At 36.0% G+C, this 17667-nt stretch overlaps 1 protein-coding gene across 6 annotated transcripts in view, besides 1 other annotated feature; it reads left to right on the forward strand.

The window, feature by feature from the left end:
• NKAIN3 (sodium/potassium transporting ATPase interacting 3) overlaps positions 1-17667 on the forward strand; it is a 750799-nt gene that overhangs the window by 340370 nt on the left and 392762 nt on the right. For all 6 annotated transcript variants that reach the window (NR_130764.2, XM_017013359.2, NM_001304533.3 and 3 more), the window contains exon 3: positions 491-571. Coding sequence is in view for 5 of the 6 variants with exons in the window: in XM_017013359.2 (XP_016868848.1) it covers positions 491-571 (81 nt within the window). In the remaining variant the exon portion in view is untranslated. The remainder of the gene's footprint in view (positions 1-490; positions 572-17667) is intronic.
• Positions 8984-9093: a silencer, noted in NCBI's record as "silent region_19238". NCBI's record gives its function as "represses an Ori minimal core promoter by ATAC-STARR-seq in GM12878 lymphoblastoid cells {active_cell/tissue: GM12878}" and the evidence as "EXISTENCE:reporter gene assay evidence [ECO:0000049][PMID:35858748]".

Consider the following 17667-nt stretch of genomic DNA (forward strand, 5'->3'; position numbering starts at 1 on the left):
TCTACTAATAAAATAGTCCAACAAACGAAAGTTTGTTAATTTTGTACTCCACGCATGTTTTCTTCAAACATGGTCTTCTTTCAGTCCTAGGTTTCCATAAATATTCCTTAAAATGTGACAGTTTTATACTGTAACTTAAAGATGATAGAGAGCTCACAGAAGATTTGCATAGTTGTGTTCCCTAGAAAAGATAATACTCAGAAAACAGAAATCAAATCAACACTTTGGTTTAACTTGTACCTGGAAGCCAGCAAAGCACTTTAAAAGTAAATCTAACTTTGTTGGTGTCTACTGAAAGCAGTAGAAATTATTGAATTTTTAATTTCTGGAAAGCTTAGGGGACCACATAGAGAGCACTCTTTTCTGAGCGCTCCGTCAGTTTCTTCCCAGAAGACAGACTTATTGACATTTTTATTATTGATTTATTTGATATACATGCCTTTCATCTCCATATTTTTCTTCTCTTTCTCCCTCCCCCATTTCTATCTAGTATACAGTGTGGACTGCCCTCTGGGTCACCTGGAATGTGTTCATTATCTGCTTTTATTTGGAAGTAGGTGGACTCTCAAAGGTGAGTTTATCATGCTTTTAAAGTACACTTTAAAATGAGTACACTTCTAAGTATTGTGACTACATACATATATAGGTATATTGTGTGTGTGTGTGTGTGTGTGTGTGTGTGTGTGTGTGTGTATAGAATGATAAAATACTATTCAAAGAAGACTTTAGGTACCACTTAGGAAAGAATGATCTTAGGAGTGTGTTAATATCATGGAACTTCAAAACAACTGCCTTCTGGTTTAGTTTGTTATACTGAAGTGGGACTGAACTTACAGTGTATCCTCATGTCCATTTTAAAAAGACATAATACCATAGTGACTGCAGGCCTAAATATTAAGTAGAAAATGGTTTTGAACATGCTTGTGTTTAAAGTAGGAAAAGGGATTGATGAAGATGTTAACGTAACAGACATGAATGGCAAGTTTCTATCTTTGCTGGAATATTAATTCTGGAAAAAATTGACCAAGAACAAAACTCTTATATTAAATGTTTACTAAGAAGTAAATGCATCAGCGTGGTGATTCCTATTTTGAAATTTTAATCACACAGAAGACAGTTGTCTTAATGCAGCAATGATACACACGTTATTTCTGCCTGTCTAGAACTGTCAGCAAAGCACATGATTTTATTATGCCTCCTGCAAAAATGTCTCACCACCCAAATGTAAGAACAACTTAAGTTTCTAGTTGTGTTTCTTAAACAGTTTTTGTGTGAACCAGCACAATTTTCACTATAGAGAAGAAACTTAACAGTATTACAAAAAGTATAAGAAAGCTGTCATATTTTAAAACTTCTCATTATCAAATATATTTATACTAACTTATTCTACTGCTTTATAACAGTCTCAGATTTTCTAAGTAATGCACCTGTGGCTTAGATTTTAGAAAATGTGTCTTGAGCAGCAAGGATACTTTAAGAATTCTTAGGTTCCATTGAAGTCCTTGTGGTAACAAAACATGTTTGATTCAGCCAAGCAGCAAAAATCCCTGAAGGATTTTTCCAGAGCCTCCAGAGGTGGTTACTCTTTTTTCTCCACTATAATAACTGTAATTAGAACTTGTCACCATTTGCTCACATTGGCAACTGTATTCAGGAACCAGAAGCAACGTTTCCAATATTGAGTTCAGTATATTTGGACTAACATCTCACTTAAATAATTGTGCTAGCGATTGTAGTTCACCACTAATTTCTAAGATATAAAAAAGTAATTAAATTAATGTCTAGTTATATTCTATAAATTCAGATTATGAAGTAATTTTCAAATGCAAATCTTATGAATAAAATAATTGCAAATAATATATTAAGCACAACATTTTCAACTCACTGCATTTTGTATCTTGCGATTTGGATGGTCATTTTAATCATATTTTTTATTTCACTGGGTAGAAATTATTTTTTCTTCTATATACACTAATTTGGGATAAATTAGACCAGAGAAATTTGTCCTATGGAATTGGCTTCATAGTATTTTGAAAGAAGGCTGAATTTTGAATCATAAGTCTTGAGTCCAAATCTGGTCTTCAGCACTTATTAACTGTGAACTCTGAGGCAAATCCTTTGGCTCCATGGAGTCTCTATGAAAAATAATAAGACCAGATTTTCCAATAATAATAGTAGTCAGTGTTTATTATACACATGATATGTGGTAACTCAGGTAAGCTTTGAAACAAATCTATGAAGTAATAAAACAAATAAATAAGTATCAGCAGTCATTTTTTTCATATAACTCTGATTTCCCACTGCTATTCAAGGTTATTTTTGTGAATTTTTGTAACTGCTTTTCTAATATCCATGTGCATGTCTAAAAGTTTTTATCTCATTTCTTTGGGGACAAGGTTGAAAACATGGACATAGTAGTCCTGGTTACTCATTTTATTACCTATTTAAATGCCATTAAGCAGTCAACCAAGTATTCTAGGTCATTAAAAAGATAGATGACTCCAAAAGGAGCATCCTAAAGATTTTCTGTTGGTCTCCTATTTACTGCCTCAAAGACTGGTAACATCTCCCTTGTTAGTCACAGTTTAGCCTCAATTCCAGTCTATGGGAAATCTATTTTGGAAAATAAAGCAAAGTTAAGGACCCTTGACAAACACAAATACCAGCCACTTTTCCAGGTTCGTTCCATTGTGTAGGAAACTCCTCGTCCATATGAGTTGGTTTATATACTAACTTTCTAGATTCTCCATCTCCTGCTAGTTCATGAAGATACTTCTTGGAATTATCCATTTGGATAGATTAATAGAAACCTCCCTATGCTGTCAATTTGGTCCAAAATATACATTCTGGGATAGTGAATCTTTCTTTAAAAATGGGGTCCAGAGTGATTTCCACAACCTCTCTGTGGATTGGGGTGTTATTCCAATGACAGACATGGCCTATGAATAGCACATTTGTACGCTAAGGTGTTCTTTTGCTGACAATTTGCATTCATGGAGTGACAGCAATCCTGTCTTACCTGAAAGATAGTGAGCTGTCTCATGGGCAGGAAAGCCTGGAAACTGAGATTCTTACAATGCTGGGCAGGCTGACAGTGCTGCATACTCTTGTGTTTTAAAAAGATCATTTTAATTTCTAGTAAGGTAAATACTGATAGATGTAATCCACATAAGCAAAAGCTGTTTAGGATCCTCATTAACATTTAAGACTATAGAAAGAAACTGAGGACAAAAAGCTTGAGAACCACTCCCATAGAGTAACCAATATAACTAAATAACTAATTAACTAACTAAATAAAAATAATGCAAACAGTAAGAAACCAAAGCAGATGTTACAAATAAAAAACAAATAACGATATGGTAGATTAAAACACAACCATGTCAATGACTATATGAAATGTAAATAGACCAAGCACTCCAGTTAAAGACAGAGATTAGAACAATGGATTTTTAAAATGACAATAGTTAATGTTATTTATATGAAATACACATTAAACATAAATACATACATATATTTAAATTAAAAAGATGGAAAATATATGCTATGTAAACGATAATCAGAAGAAAACCTCTGTGGTCATATTAATGTCAGAAAAAAAGTAGACTTCAAATAAAGAGTATGAATAGAGATAAACAGATGTTTTACAATGATAACAGGATCAATGTATTAAATAGACAAAATAATTCAAAACTACACCAAATAACTGAATTTTAGAATACATGAGGTAAAAACTGGCAATATTAAAGGGGGAAATTGACAAATCCATTAACATAGGGGGAGAGTTTAATACTCCTTTCTTGCTTATTTAGAGAAAAAGTAGACACAATTCAGTACAAAATAAAATATTTGAACAACACAAAGTCAAACAATGTGTCTGTCATATAGAGGATATTACCTTAAAATTACAATTTATATTTTCTATTCATGTGCATATGAACAATGACCAAGATGGCATTCTGGGCCATAAGCAAGTCTCAGTAAATGTTGAATGACTGAAATAATACAGATAATATTCTCCCACCACAAATACAAGAGTAATTTATAATTGTTAATAATTCACAAATCAAAGAAGAAATTTAGAGGAAAATTGAAAAATAAAAGTACAAAATTAAAGTACATAATTAAAAAAAAATCTTCTTTGTGGATGAATTCCTATCAGTGTTTAGAGGAAGAAATGTAGATTTAAGTTGCTTATTAGAAAAAAAGAAAAGTTAAAAATCAGTGATATACACTTCCATCTTAAGAAGAGCAATTTGACTAATATCTCATAGTTGGTTCTTTGAAAAGATTAATAAACTAACAAGCATGTAGTAAGGTTGATCCAAAAAAAGAAGAAACAATACAAATTATCAATTCATTAAAGAAAGAAGTGACATAACTACAGATTCAACAGAAATTAAAAGATTAATAGAAAAAAATTAAACAATCAAAAATATTGATAGCCATGAATTTATAATTAAAAATCTTTCTACAAAAAAATCAAAACAGAAACAACCGGTATGCAATTGGTTAAGGAAACAGAATTTTCTGTTTAAAAATTTTGGGGTTAGTAGAAAAATGTCACCTTGCTAGAGGGAGTAACTTTCTGCAAGCCTCTCAGGTAAAAACTTAGAACAAAAGGCAATAGTTAAAGTTTAGTCTTCACTTCCCCCAAATCTGGGCTCTGTGTACTAGCAGATCTGTTAGGTGGGGATCCTCAGTGGGGGTCTGTTCAGATGTTGTCTTTAATTTCTATAGGGAAAGCAAACATCCCTGGAGCTTTAACTCCCTTGGCTATTGTTAAGACTACTATTACCTTCTTGTTTAGCAAGTTACTTAATTACCTCTGGGGCTAGCCAGATGCCTGGAATTTCTCTTTAAAAAAACTTTGGGGTTTTTCTTTATTTCCCTGCTTGGAGTTTTGCAGGACTTCAAAAAAAAGGTCAGGGTGGAGGTCCTTGCTCAGGATCAATCTATCAAACATAAGAAATACATAATGCTAATCTTACTCAAACTCCTACAGAAAATAGAGGAGGAGGGACCATTTCACAAATAATTTGGTGAGCTAACATAATCCTGATACCACCTTATAGACAAGAATTAAATTGACATCTATGTTTTAGCAGTCCTTGGCCATCTCTCCAGGAAATTCCTCATTAGCCATTCTGCCAAGAGGGACTCCACACGGTGAATTGTTTGTCACCACCTGATCTTCCCTTCTCTTCACTCCCAGGCTCTTTGCTAAGATCAAAATTCTTGCTCCTTTATAGATCAAATCAAATCAGCTCTACCTTTTTGTTTCCCTCACTAATCCAAGCTATTTCCAGACATCCTCACTTTCCTTATCTACAAAGGCCCAACCAAATGTTTTCCTTAAAAATGAGCTCTCTGTCCTGCAGATGAGAAATGTCACTCTGTCACATGGCAGAAGCATCTATAGTCAGATTGTATTTAAAGACTTTTTTAATTCCCCATTACATTTCACTACATTTTGAAGTGGTAGTTGTTATCAATCTTAATAGTTTGTTCTACTGGAAATAGACAATGACTTTAGATTTTGTTTTCTTTCTTTCTTTTCCTTCCTTCCTTCCTTCCTCCCTTCCTTTCTTCCCTCCCTTCCTTCCTTCATTCCTTTCCTTTCCTTTCCTTTCCCTTCTTCTTTTTTGTCAACAGGGTAAGGGTTCTTTTTGGTTAGAGTTCTTTTCTCATAATAAAAAATATATATTACATATATAAGTTGCAGAAACTAGAAAGACAAGAAGAAACACCATTTTTGCTTCAAACATTTGAAGACCACTGCCGTGAATATTTTGATTCCAGTTTATTCTCATTCTGCTGTGTTTCCATGGTTTTTCTCTCCTGTTTTTCTTATTATTGTTGAGATAATACTATAGAGAAAATTGACATACTGACTTTTTAAAAATTGGACTTAATGAAAAACATTTTTATGTTGTTACTAAAGTCATGGTTAATATTTTTAAATTTTGTGTAATATTACATCAATCATGAATAGTTATTTTTTCTGCTCTTTCTTTAACAGGAGATGTTAAACGCTTCTGATACATTTTGCTGAATTTCTTCTCCAAAAAGCATACCATTAGCTGTAAAATATGAGTATCTAGAGTGTCATTAGCACAAGTTAATCTGTTTCACCATTTGGGGTTTTTTGGGGCTATTTTCTTTTTTTTTTTTTTTTTTTGCAGTTGCAAGATTTAATAGAGTGAAATAGAGTGAAAACAGAGCTCCCATACAAAGGGAGGGGACCCAAAGGGGGTTGCCATTGCCAGCTCCAATACCTGGGTTTATATCCCGATCCTTGTCCCTCCCACTGTGCTCTCAGGCAATAGATGATTGGCTATTTCTTTACCTCCTGTTTTTGCCTAATTAGCATTTTAGTGAGCTCTCTGATTGGTCGGGTGTGAGCTAAGTTGCAAGCCCCGTTTTTAAAGGTGGATGTGGTCACCTTCCCAGCTAGGCTTAGGGATTCTTAGTTGGCCTAGGAAATTGTTGGGGACGTTGGCCGACAACAACTCTAACTGCTTCCTGTTGAATTGGGGTGTAGTAGGGGTTGTGCAGTTGAGATTTCCTCGGGAGGGGTGCCTTCGATGTCATTAACATCGGAGCATGGGCTAGCAGGCCTGTCCAGGGGTCTATGGTAGCTCTTAGTCATGGACTGCATCTGGAGCTCCATTTGAAGAACGATTTGTAGTTTTACAGCTTTGACTCTGAAAGAGACAAACTTAACAAGGAGGTTAAAGATACAAGGATTGAAATGTATGGCCTGCAGTGCAGGGGATTACTTGTTTGGCACACTTTACAGGCCCTGACTATATGCTTGATAGTTTTGAAAAGGCCTGATCCAGTAAATAATAATTTGGCCATCTGATGGGTACTATCAATGCCTAAGTGAAAGGTTTGGTGAAGGGTTTTAAGTAATTTCCATTGGTTAGCTGCAGGCAAAAGTATTTTTTCTTCTTCGGTGGCTAGCCATCCTGAGGGGAGGAAACTATGTCTTCGTGAGTTTCCTCATTCTATTTCTTCTTCTGAGTACTGGGGCTTTGTTTCCTGGAGGTGATTACTCCATACTAGGGGTCCTTCTATAAGCATTTCTAATGGAGGGTCCTGCCTTGCAGCTCTTTTGGCTTCAATATCCACTGGGCAGTTCCTTTCTATTTCCCTTTCCTTTCCTTTCTGGTGACCCTGGCAGTGTAAGACTGCCACCTTTTTAGGTTTCTGTACAGCCAATAGTAATCTCCTAATGGCTTCCTGATGTTTGACAGGTGTTCCCTCGGAAGTTAGGAATTCCCTTTCTCTCCATATTGCTGCATGGGCATGGAGGACGATGTAAGCATACTTAGAGTCTGTATATATATTTACCCTTTTCTCTACCCCTAATTCTAGTGCCCAAGTGAGGGCTATTAGTTCTGCCAGCTGAGCACTAGTTCCTAGAGTGAGGGGATTACTTTCAAGTATTCCGTTATCACCGACCACTGCATACCCCACTTTTCAAAGTCCTTTTTCTACAAAGGAACTTCCATCAGTATACAAGTTGAGGTCTGGATCAGTCAAGGGAACCTCTAAAAGGTCCCCTCGAACAGCATAGGTTTGAGCAATTACTTGTTGACAGTTATGTTCTATCTTTTCTTCATTGTCTGCAAGAAATGTGACTGGGTTAAGAGTTGCACAAGTGCACAGTTACAGCACTGGCCCTTCAAGTAATGGAGCCTGATATTTAAGTAAATGGTTGTCTGACAGCCACAAGTCTTCTTTAGCAGTGAGTATGCCGTTCACATCATGAGATGTCCACACAGTAAGATCTCTTCCCTGTATTATTTTAACTGCTTCTGATACTAAGACTGCTACTGCTGCCACTACCCATAAACAATGAGAACAACCCTTTGCCACTACATCAGTTTCCTTACTCAGGTATGCCACGGGTTGCAAGCTGGTCCCTCGGACCTGTGAAAGGACTCCTAGAGCTATTCCTGTTTCTTCTGTGACATATAAAGAAAAGTCTTGCCCCGTTGGCAAGCTTACCACTGGGGCTTGGGTTAGGGCCTTCTTTAGGGCCTGGAAAGCCGCTTCTGCTTCATGTGTCCATCTTACTAAATGGGTATCGGCTTTCTGAGTTTCCTTAATTAGTGTGTATAATAGCCTGGCTATTTCGCTTTTCATGGTGAAAAGAAAATTCTTATTTCTTTGTTTAAAGAATAATTTTTTTATTTCTTCAAAGTTGAATATCTCCTAATGTGTTTGATAGTCGGCTTTTATTTTCACTTTTTGTTAATAGGGTTTGTCTTTTTGTGTTTTAGTGATGATGTTTTTAGGCTTTAGTCTCTATGGAACATAATTTTGTTCTATTTTTCAAGGTGAAAATCTGAATAGGTATTTTTTACCAATAACTGACCAATGGCAAAAACAAAATTTACTTAGTAGGCTTTTCACTGGTTTTGCTTTTTTATGATATAATACATTTCTATAAGATCTATTTCTAGAATATCATCATTTTCGGCACATACTACTTTATATTAGTTTGTATATACTTTATAATAGGAATTATCTCTCTGCAATCCAGTCTTCCCAAGTCTATGACTTAACCTCATACATTTGGTTTACAGATGATTTTAGAATAAATCTGTTCAAATATATATAATGTATATTATATATCTCATTTTAGTTTTGTTTTTGTTCATTATGTTTAACTTTTAATTTAGGAAAGATTGAGAAAAATTTATGTTAGAGAATTCAGGAGGAAAGTTTTGAGTAACAGAATCAATCACAGAGGATGTGAACTAAAAGTTCCAACGTCAAACTCCTTATGAACTAGTCATCACGGATTGTGTTAATATTCTTGGGTATCACTTGACAAAAATTATTTTTTCAGTTTCCTTACTCCTTAGTTTAGCAAGGTACAAGTTCTTGATCCATGACCAAGAAGTATAAGGCATGCAGACACCGGAGAGTGAGTAAGGCAGAGTAGGATTCATTAAGCAACAGAAAAGCTCTCAACAGCAAGAGGGGAACCGAAAGTGGATTGCCAGAAATGGGGCTGAGTTTGGGTCTTTTATGTGGCAGAAACAAGGTAGTCTTCTGTGTGTTCTGCCTTAATGAGAGAAGTAAAGCTGCCCCCTGTGGGTGTTGCATCTGTGTATGCCTAAGGTTGGCCAGAGTGACTCCATGTTGATTATTACTCATGAGTGCCTAAGCGAAACCCATAGAGGGAGGGTGGGGACATAACTCCAATGTTAATGATATTACAATTGGCTCTGGGTCAAGTTAAGGACATTTAGTGGATTTATTTTGCCTTCACCTAAGTTGGGACAGTCCCTTCTGAGCAGACATCCTGGTATAAGAGGAAGTTCTTAACCACGTTTCCACCCTGCTACATAGGGGCAGTGCAGATGCATTCCCGCGGGTTCTGTCTCTCTCCTTAGACCCTCCCTCTGTGTCTGCCTAGCCAGCCTCTAACTGTCTCCTCTCTCTAATTCATGTCCCTTCTAATTCACGTAGAAGGGACACTGTGTTGGAGGGACAACAGAGGTCAGAGAAGTAGGAGGCAGGAGGACTGGGTTTGGAACAGCTAGGAGCTTAGGTAGACACTGGAGGCTCAGAGGAATGACTGTCTTGTCAGAAAGGCACAGCTGAGATGCAAACAGGATCCAGCTGTTGTCCACCTGCTCACTATTTAAATTACTAGGGTGTGATGGAGGGTGTAATGATCCCAGCTGGATCAACATCTGCCTCTTTGCCACAGGAAGACAGGGTTCAAGATTAGAGGTCTCACTGATTCCATAAGCTGGGAAAAAACTAATTTCAATACAAAACAAAATGGGGTAGTCTCAAGAAAAGAGAGACAACCATGGCCACCACAGAGCATGTCTTAATCATTCTTATCAACTAGTAATGTATATTCTCATGGGCATAAACAATTATGCCTCTTGCATATTATGGGAGTCTTGATCACAGCCTCCAGATATTCCCTTTCCTTTTGTCTCATCTGCCAGCCTGCCCTGCAGCAGGCATTTGTTACCGCAGGCTTGAGTGTTTTAGTTCTCCCCATGCCTTTCAGCACTTGAAGGTAATGGATGCCTTGTTTTAAGGAATGTGTATATGTATGGTGGGGTGGGGAATGACTGTGGGTAGGTAACTAAAAGTGTCTGTCTATACTTGGGTAATCTCCTGAAGCCTCAATTTCCTGTTCTGCAAAATGAAGAAAGCCACAACAATAATCGCACTGGGTTGTGGAAAGAATTAAATAATACCTATGCAGGGCTTAGAAATGATCTTGGCATATTGTGAGGTTTCAGTAAATGGTGGTTCTCATTATTACCTTCAACATCATCATCTTTATTATTATTGGAGAAATTAACAGACATCACAATCCTCATCCTGAAAACCTTTGGGATGTATTTATTACTATGCAAGAGCTGTAAAAGGGAAGAATTGTAGGACTGAGTGACTCGTTTAAAAATATGAAAGAGTCCCTTGTGATAGGACCTCAGATCTGCATTTTAACTTCACAGCTGTAACAGTATTAATTAAATCATTTCCTTCAACATGTAAATAGCTTTTTGACATACATCTGCAGCCAGATTCTCCTGGTGTCCCTACCACTTCCCCTAGGAGTACTTTAAGCATCTTTGGAAGTCTCCAAGGCTGTTTTTCTTGCCACACTTTAAGATCATCAAGGGCACAATTAATAAGTTATTGCTGCTTGTTTGGAAGTTACAAGACTTGAAATAATTTTTTCCTCCTGAGGAATACATTTGGAATTAAATATGAAAACCCATCTTATTTGCTACACTTAAAGATAAAGAACCCAAGTTTTAATACTTTTATTCCAAAGAAATTAGTCCAATCTGTCTTAATGGCATCTTTTAATTATTTTACATTTAAAATAATTTAAAAATTTCTAGGTACATTTTACCTAGAAAATTTAGGTTAATATTTCTCCTAATTGACTTATCTTGAAAGGTTTGGTACTTACATATTAGTAGTCTTAGAGAATTTTCAATGTGTCACATTTTCATAGAATTCTGAACCTGTACAACTGTGCATAAGCATAACTTTGACATAAAAATGAATGAAAGACATTCTACAAGGACTTATTTTATATTAATCATGAGCTTTGATCAGGGGCCTTCTAAAATCTTATAGGCAGGGGACAGGGGAGGAAAATGGACTAACTCTTACTGGTTTCCTACACAGCACAGGGGCTTCCCATCAGTTTTTTTCCATTTTAACCCTACCTCAGAGGTAGACATTAGTATCTTTATTTTATAAATGAGGAACCTCATCCAGGAGAGGCTAACTTGCTCAAGGCACATAGCAGTAAACTGAGATGTCAGGTCTTAATGCTTCCTTCCGAAGGTCACTTCATTTCCCATTATAGCAAGTTGCTTCCTACACAGAAGGAAAACCCACCTGCATTTGTTTCTCTATGACATGTTTTAACAGCTATGCTTTTTCTAACTTGTGGGCATTTTGATTCTTGGAGAAATTTAAGCCATTTCCTCAGAAGGCAATAATAGCACCTTATTGTCCTCTTTTGACTTAAATTTTTTGACTTAAATTGACACCATCATTCATGAGGGTCCTCTTTTTAAATCTTTAGTTGAATAGTTCACCTGAGCAGCCAGGCAGCATCAGTGAAATAGTTCTTCCTCTTCAAGGCTCATTCTTATTACTTACCTTGAATTGTTCCTTTGCACTTACTGGGAAAATTTTTTGTCTTGATCAAGATTCATTTTCCTTCAAGGTTGGATTCTTCTATCAACTTTAGCTTTTGGGCAGGCAATTTCCAGTAAAATATTTTAGACCGTCAATTCAGAGTTCAGTACATGAACAATTGCAGAGGAAACAGAACTCTCAGTTTCCCTCAGCTGCTTACAATCTATCCATTGTCTTTTATAAACATTCAAATATTTTTGCATCTCATAGAGTTCTTTTTCTGATGGTAGTTTGAAATTAAATCAAGGATATATAGCATCTTTCCTTTTTTATTTAAACAAATACAACCTACTGAATCTAGTAAAGTTTTTAAGTCATATTTATATTTTCTTTTTGATATCTTCCTACCTGGACATTTTTCAAAATGAATCCTAAAATGTGATGTTTAAAGAGGAATGGAGGTAGGGTACAGAATATCTATATTCAGAAATAGTATATCTGGCAAATTGTACAGAAATAGCATCCTAGAATCACAGCCAAACTATGCCCACTTCTGGAACTACAAGAATAATATCCTATGCACTATTCTGTATCCTGAAGTAAATGGATCTATCTATATCAATGGACACTTTGGGAAAGATACATATTCATTTCACTAGAATAACAAAATATTTCAGGTTCTGAACTAACATATTAGTAGGTATGTATCCTGCTGAGCTAAAGGAATATTTTTGTCTATAATATTGACTGATGGTGGTGGTAGTGGCTGTGAGTATCTGCCCACTTATTAAGGATCTGTAAAGGGAGAATCATCACAATCTGCTTCCAGGTACTAAATCTAAATGAGAACAAAAGCCTGAAAATGTTTATTGTTATGTTTGGTTCCTGCACAATCTTTATCCAAAGAGACGCAATTATATTCTTTTAAAAAATAGCAAGGAAATGTAAATATAGGTGTGAGTTTCCTATTCCAAAAATTTAAGCTACGTCTTTTCCTTTGGCATGAGTCTAAGTGAACATAACTTCTAAAAATACAGTCCTCAGTTTCTTTTTTATAGTGAGATAATTTGATTCCTCCTGTAGCTTTTCTACAATAAAGAAAATCACAAGCAAGGTTAAGCTCAGTCTTATATTTTTCATAAATTTCATCAAATACAAATACCTCAAAAATCTTTATCCTAAAAAGCCAATTTGAAGCTACATTATAAGCCAACGACATATATAAAACACAATCTAAACTACCAAGTAATTGCCACAACCTGGGTAGTATTAAGAGTTTTTAATCAGAAATTTGTATTGTAATCTTATGCCTTTCCATAAGGGTTCAAATCGTTTTTACCAAGGAGTAGATGAATATATTATTCTATCAACAGTAGCTGTATTTCTTATTATATGATTAGAATCACTTATTGAACAAAGCCTATGCAAATATAATTGAAACACTATCCAGAAATATGTTGTCTTTGCTCTTTGTATTTTATCTTTTCTTCTTCTAATGAAAACACACCTGAGATCAATATTTAAAGATAAACATTTTACCTTTGTATCTAGTTTATTGACTCAACTCATGGGATAATAATCATGAAATGGTTTTATTTCTTTGAATAAACTGCTTCCCCAATCTTCTGCCCCAAACCCTCTTTCTGTTTCATAAAACATTGTATACAGAGTCTATGACAACATTGGTCATAAAAAGCTTGTTTCATGTCTGATTCACATCTATTCTTTCCCCTTACCAAAGCTGACCTTGTTTTAGGCCTTGACCTCTCCCTGATCCCAACTCTACTCTGGGACAAGAAACAGGAGGTAGTGGGTCTTCTTACATAACCAGTCTTAAGATTATGCTGGAGGGTTTGAAGGATCCTGATCTCATAATGATGTTGGTCTGTTCCAGCTACTGCTAGTGGCCTCTGCTGATGAATCTCCAAACATGGCAAATTCTTCCACTAACTTCAATAAGTCAATATTTATTTTTAATGAGTCTATAATTATTCTAATACATGAAAATTTGTTAACATTTCAGAACATTACATAGCATTAAGCCATTCTGAGTAGACTCCAACTGCTGAGCTGAATTTTCACGTAAGCATCATTATCAAGAGAATTTTGGTGCTGTGAAGAAACCACACTTTTATAGCTTATATTCAAATGCTTTTCTGTGTTTTTGAAGACAATTTAAAACTACTGCTGCAGAATTTTTCATGCAGTCGATTGAAGATAAGATCATTGTAGAAGAACAATACGTAGAACCATTATTCTTATAAGTGACATTAAGATTTGGATTTTCTTGTGATGTTGATTTGCTTCGAATGCAAAATCTTAGTGTTGTGACATGTCAATTAAGAGTACAGTCTTGATGATGAAGAATTTCTGGTGACATTTGCAACAATTAACAAATTATAAAAGAGACCCTGATAAACACGTTTTGTGACATTTATTTAGTTTTTAAAACCAGAATAGCAGTGTGTACTACTGGATAGCCTTATAAAATAAAACTGCACCACATGGTGAGATTATGATTGATGAGTATTAAGCTGAAGTGCCCTGCAGGAGCAGAGGAGCCTCAGATAACAATTACTCAATGCTACTCCCACGTATGTTACAGAGGCAAAACTTAAGTCATTTAAATTCTTCGGATAAAATTTTTCCATGTAGACAGTTGAAGGAAAAAAAACACAGATAATATTAATCATTTCTAAACAGTTATTTTTGCACAGAGAAAGTTTGTCTCTGAGCCCCATGCTATAATGGCATGAGGAATTATAGGCTGAGGCTTCAGATTGAACTTAATTAGTGTCTTGCACACATATGGCCCTGGAAGCATCTGTGCATCTGATTTGTGCTTCCTCTGGTTGTGGTTGTCACTGCAACTTTGATATTGTACCAGCTACCTTAGCATAGGAGTCAGGATCCCTGACTCAGGAAGGATAAGTTTGAGAATGCAAGGTAGAGAGAATTCTGAGAAGATTAAATCAAATATATGAAGAAATATGTGAAAAATGATTGGTCAGATTAGTGTCAAAGCTGAGAGAGGTGGAAAGAGAGAAAGGTTTTGTTTTATCTGCAGGAAGCCACTAACAGAATGACAGTTTCTGCAGAAACCCTTGTAACAAGATACCCTTTGGTATGAAGTTCCTAACAAGCCAGTGTCTGCCGCACAGCAGGGCTGCCTGGAATGTCTGCTGCGGCACAGAACTGCCCAAGGAAGAGAGTCAGGAAACAGGAGAGATTCCATCCTTCCATGTCCCATCTGAGGACTAATAGAAAATAGTGAGAAAGTTACTAGAGTGAAGATTGTCCAGAAGATGAGGCAGAACTGGCTGGTCCCAGTAGAGGCCACTGAATGGAGGCAACAAGGTGACAGAATTAAAAAAGAGGAAGAATCCGAGTGTCTGATAACAAGAATGAGCTAGAATCGCCTTTGCCCTTTGGAAGCCCTCAGCATTGATTCACTTTTGCCTGCTTTCTGATTCAGGAATAACAGTAGGACAGGAAAAATACAGTACACAGCTGTGTGTGTAGTAATTGTCGGTGTGCTTGCATGTTAAAATCAGTATATTGAAACATCCAGCTGTCTATGCTCACTTAAAGGCTAGTTTTTGTCTGAAACTTTCATCCCACTACAGAAACCAGATGGAATATCTCACAATCAAATAACAGATGAAGCTGAAAAACAATAAAAGCATGTAACACATAATTCTACTTTATTCTTGTAGGAGCCACTTTAACTCAAGGCTCTGAGAACTTATTTATGGAACCCAAATATTAGTAACTCGTAATTTTCTAAAAGAATAGAAATTTAAAAGCATACATTTCTAGGATTAGAATTGGATGGGGAAGGACAAAAGTTAATTGAAATTTAGCAAACTTCAAAGAAAAAGAAAGAATATCCATTTGTTAAATTAATTTACAAATGGGAAGTATAGCTTTCTGTAAAAATCATATCATTTTCCAAATTTTCTAAGTGTTCAACTATATTCATCAAATCATTCTTTCATTAAACAAATGATGGCAGAAGTTTCTGGTTATCGTCCATAATCTATTCCCGCTTCTTCTGGTCAAGAGTCTAGGAAAATCCTGCTCTCGTCACAGGTGGCAGGGCTAAAAAGCTCTATTTCTTTGTCTCTGTAGGTGTAGGTATGGTCATCTAAGTAAGTTCTGGCCATTGTGATACATGCAGAAGGATTGTGAGGAACTTCTGGAAGGGCTGCTGTAGAGCTAATGAATTAGAAGCTGACCCAAACTTAGTGACTTAAAGAATACAAATATGTTCTTGCATTTCTTCTGTGGGTCAGAAGTCTCATGTAGGTCTTAATGACACCTCAAAATCGAGGTGTAAGAAGGGGCTGTATTCCTTTTTGGAGGTTCTAATGTGACCTTGAGGATGTCAACCATGCATTAGAATGGTAGAGCTGAAAACAAAATGAGCCTAATAACTCAACGGAGCTTTCAGACCAGCCCTGAGCTGCCCATGACCGGATTTGTTTTACATTAGAAAATGTGTTCAAGCCATTGTCTGAGGGTCTGAAATATGCAACTGAAAACCGTGCCTATATCATTCTATAGTCTATTTTATCTAGTATTTACTCGGTTCAAAGCACTATACCAGGAACTAGGGCTACATTCAGTTGTTGCCCCCATAAAGTATTTAGTATACAGTCTGCCCTCTGAATCTACAGGTTCCACATCCATGCATTCAACCAACTGCAGATCAAAACTATTTGGAAGAAAGCAATAAAAAGTAACAATACAGAAATAAAAAATAATACCAAATTTAAAATGTAGCGTATCTATTTACATAGTATTTACACTATATTAAGTATTACAAGTATTCTAGAGATTACAAAGTATATGGAGGGTGTGCACAGGTCATGTGCAAATACTATATTATTTTATTTCAGGGATTTGAGCACCCTCAGATTTTGGTGTCTGCAGGGGGCCTGGAATCAATGCCCCGTGGATACTGAGGAACAATTGTAATAGAAACAAATTTTCTATTAAATGAGTATTCACAATAAAATGTAGTGAGAATTATGATAATGGAAGGAAAACAAACTTTGGTATTTTAAAGCAGGGAACACAGTTTTCCTAAGGAAGAGGGAATTAAGAGCAAAGAACATTATAGCAAATAACATGCTGATCTTCACAGATATGCTGTAATTGACCTACCTTCAGTGAGAAAAGTGCTTTTCGTTGCCACTCTTAAAAATTCCTTATAATAAATGTGCGTCGATCCACCATCTCCATCTTACCCTCTTTTCTCAGATTGTCCTTTGGCAAGCACATATTAAAGAGAGAACCTCCAAGGATTACATGGATCAGGACTAAGGTCACTACCCTTGAGAGGTGATCCTGTAGGGTCATGCTCTAAACAAGGGAGGTATCGAGTTACAGATTGTAACAATCAGTGGCCTGAAAATATCTGTTCAGGCACAGTTCGGGAAAAAATGCTAGTCTACTAGTGTTCCTTTTGAGGTTATCTGTAATTTTCCTAAGCATAAATAGACAAATGTGCTCCTCAACTCTAAGACCATTTCAGTGCACAACTGCACTATTTAGCTTAGAGTCAATACTGATTCAAAAAGTATTTCAAGGAAGGGTAAATACACTTCCTGCAAAATCCCCTTAAGAAAGTATGCTGCTGGAAAAAAAATGGCATAAAGAAGTCCTTTCAGAACAAGCACTATATCCCCACACTTATTTTAGCCACAGAAATTCAATTTGGTTGAGTTGTCTGGGGACTTGATTTGACCCTGTTTCCAGAACAATGTGCAATGGCTTGACAGAATCATTTTTAAATGGGCCATCTGATGTTTCAGTTTGTAGATATAATTCATCATTTATTTTTGTCCTGTAATTATAGAATTAATGAAGAAAACACTTCCTCTGTGTATTTGAAATATTAAGGGCATCAAGTCATTTTAAGTATTAGTTTGAGAAGATACTCTGTCCTGCTTCAAGGCAGCATAGGACATCAGAAGCAGTGATTGTGTAGTGAGCTGTGCTCATCATTAGCTG

This window comes from Homo sapiens, chromosome 8, assembly GCF_000001405.40.
Source record: "Homo sapiens chromosome 8, GRCh38.p14 Primary Assembly".
NCBI classification, from domain to species: Eukaryota; Metazoa; Chordata; class Mammalia; order Primates; family Hominidae; genus Homo; species Homo sapiens.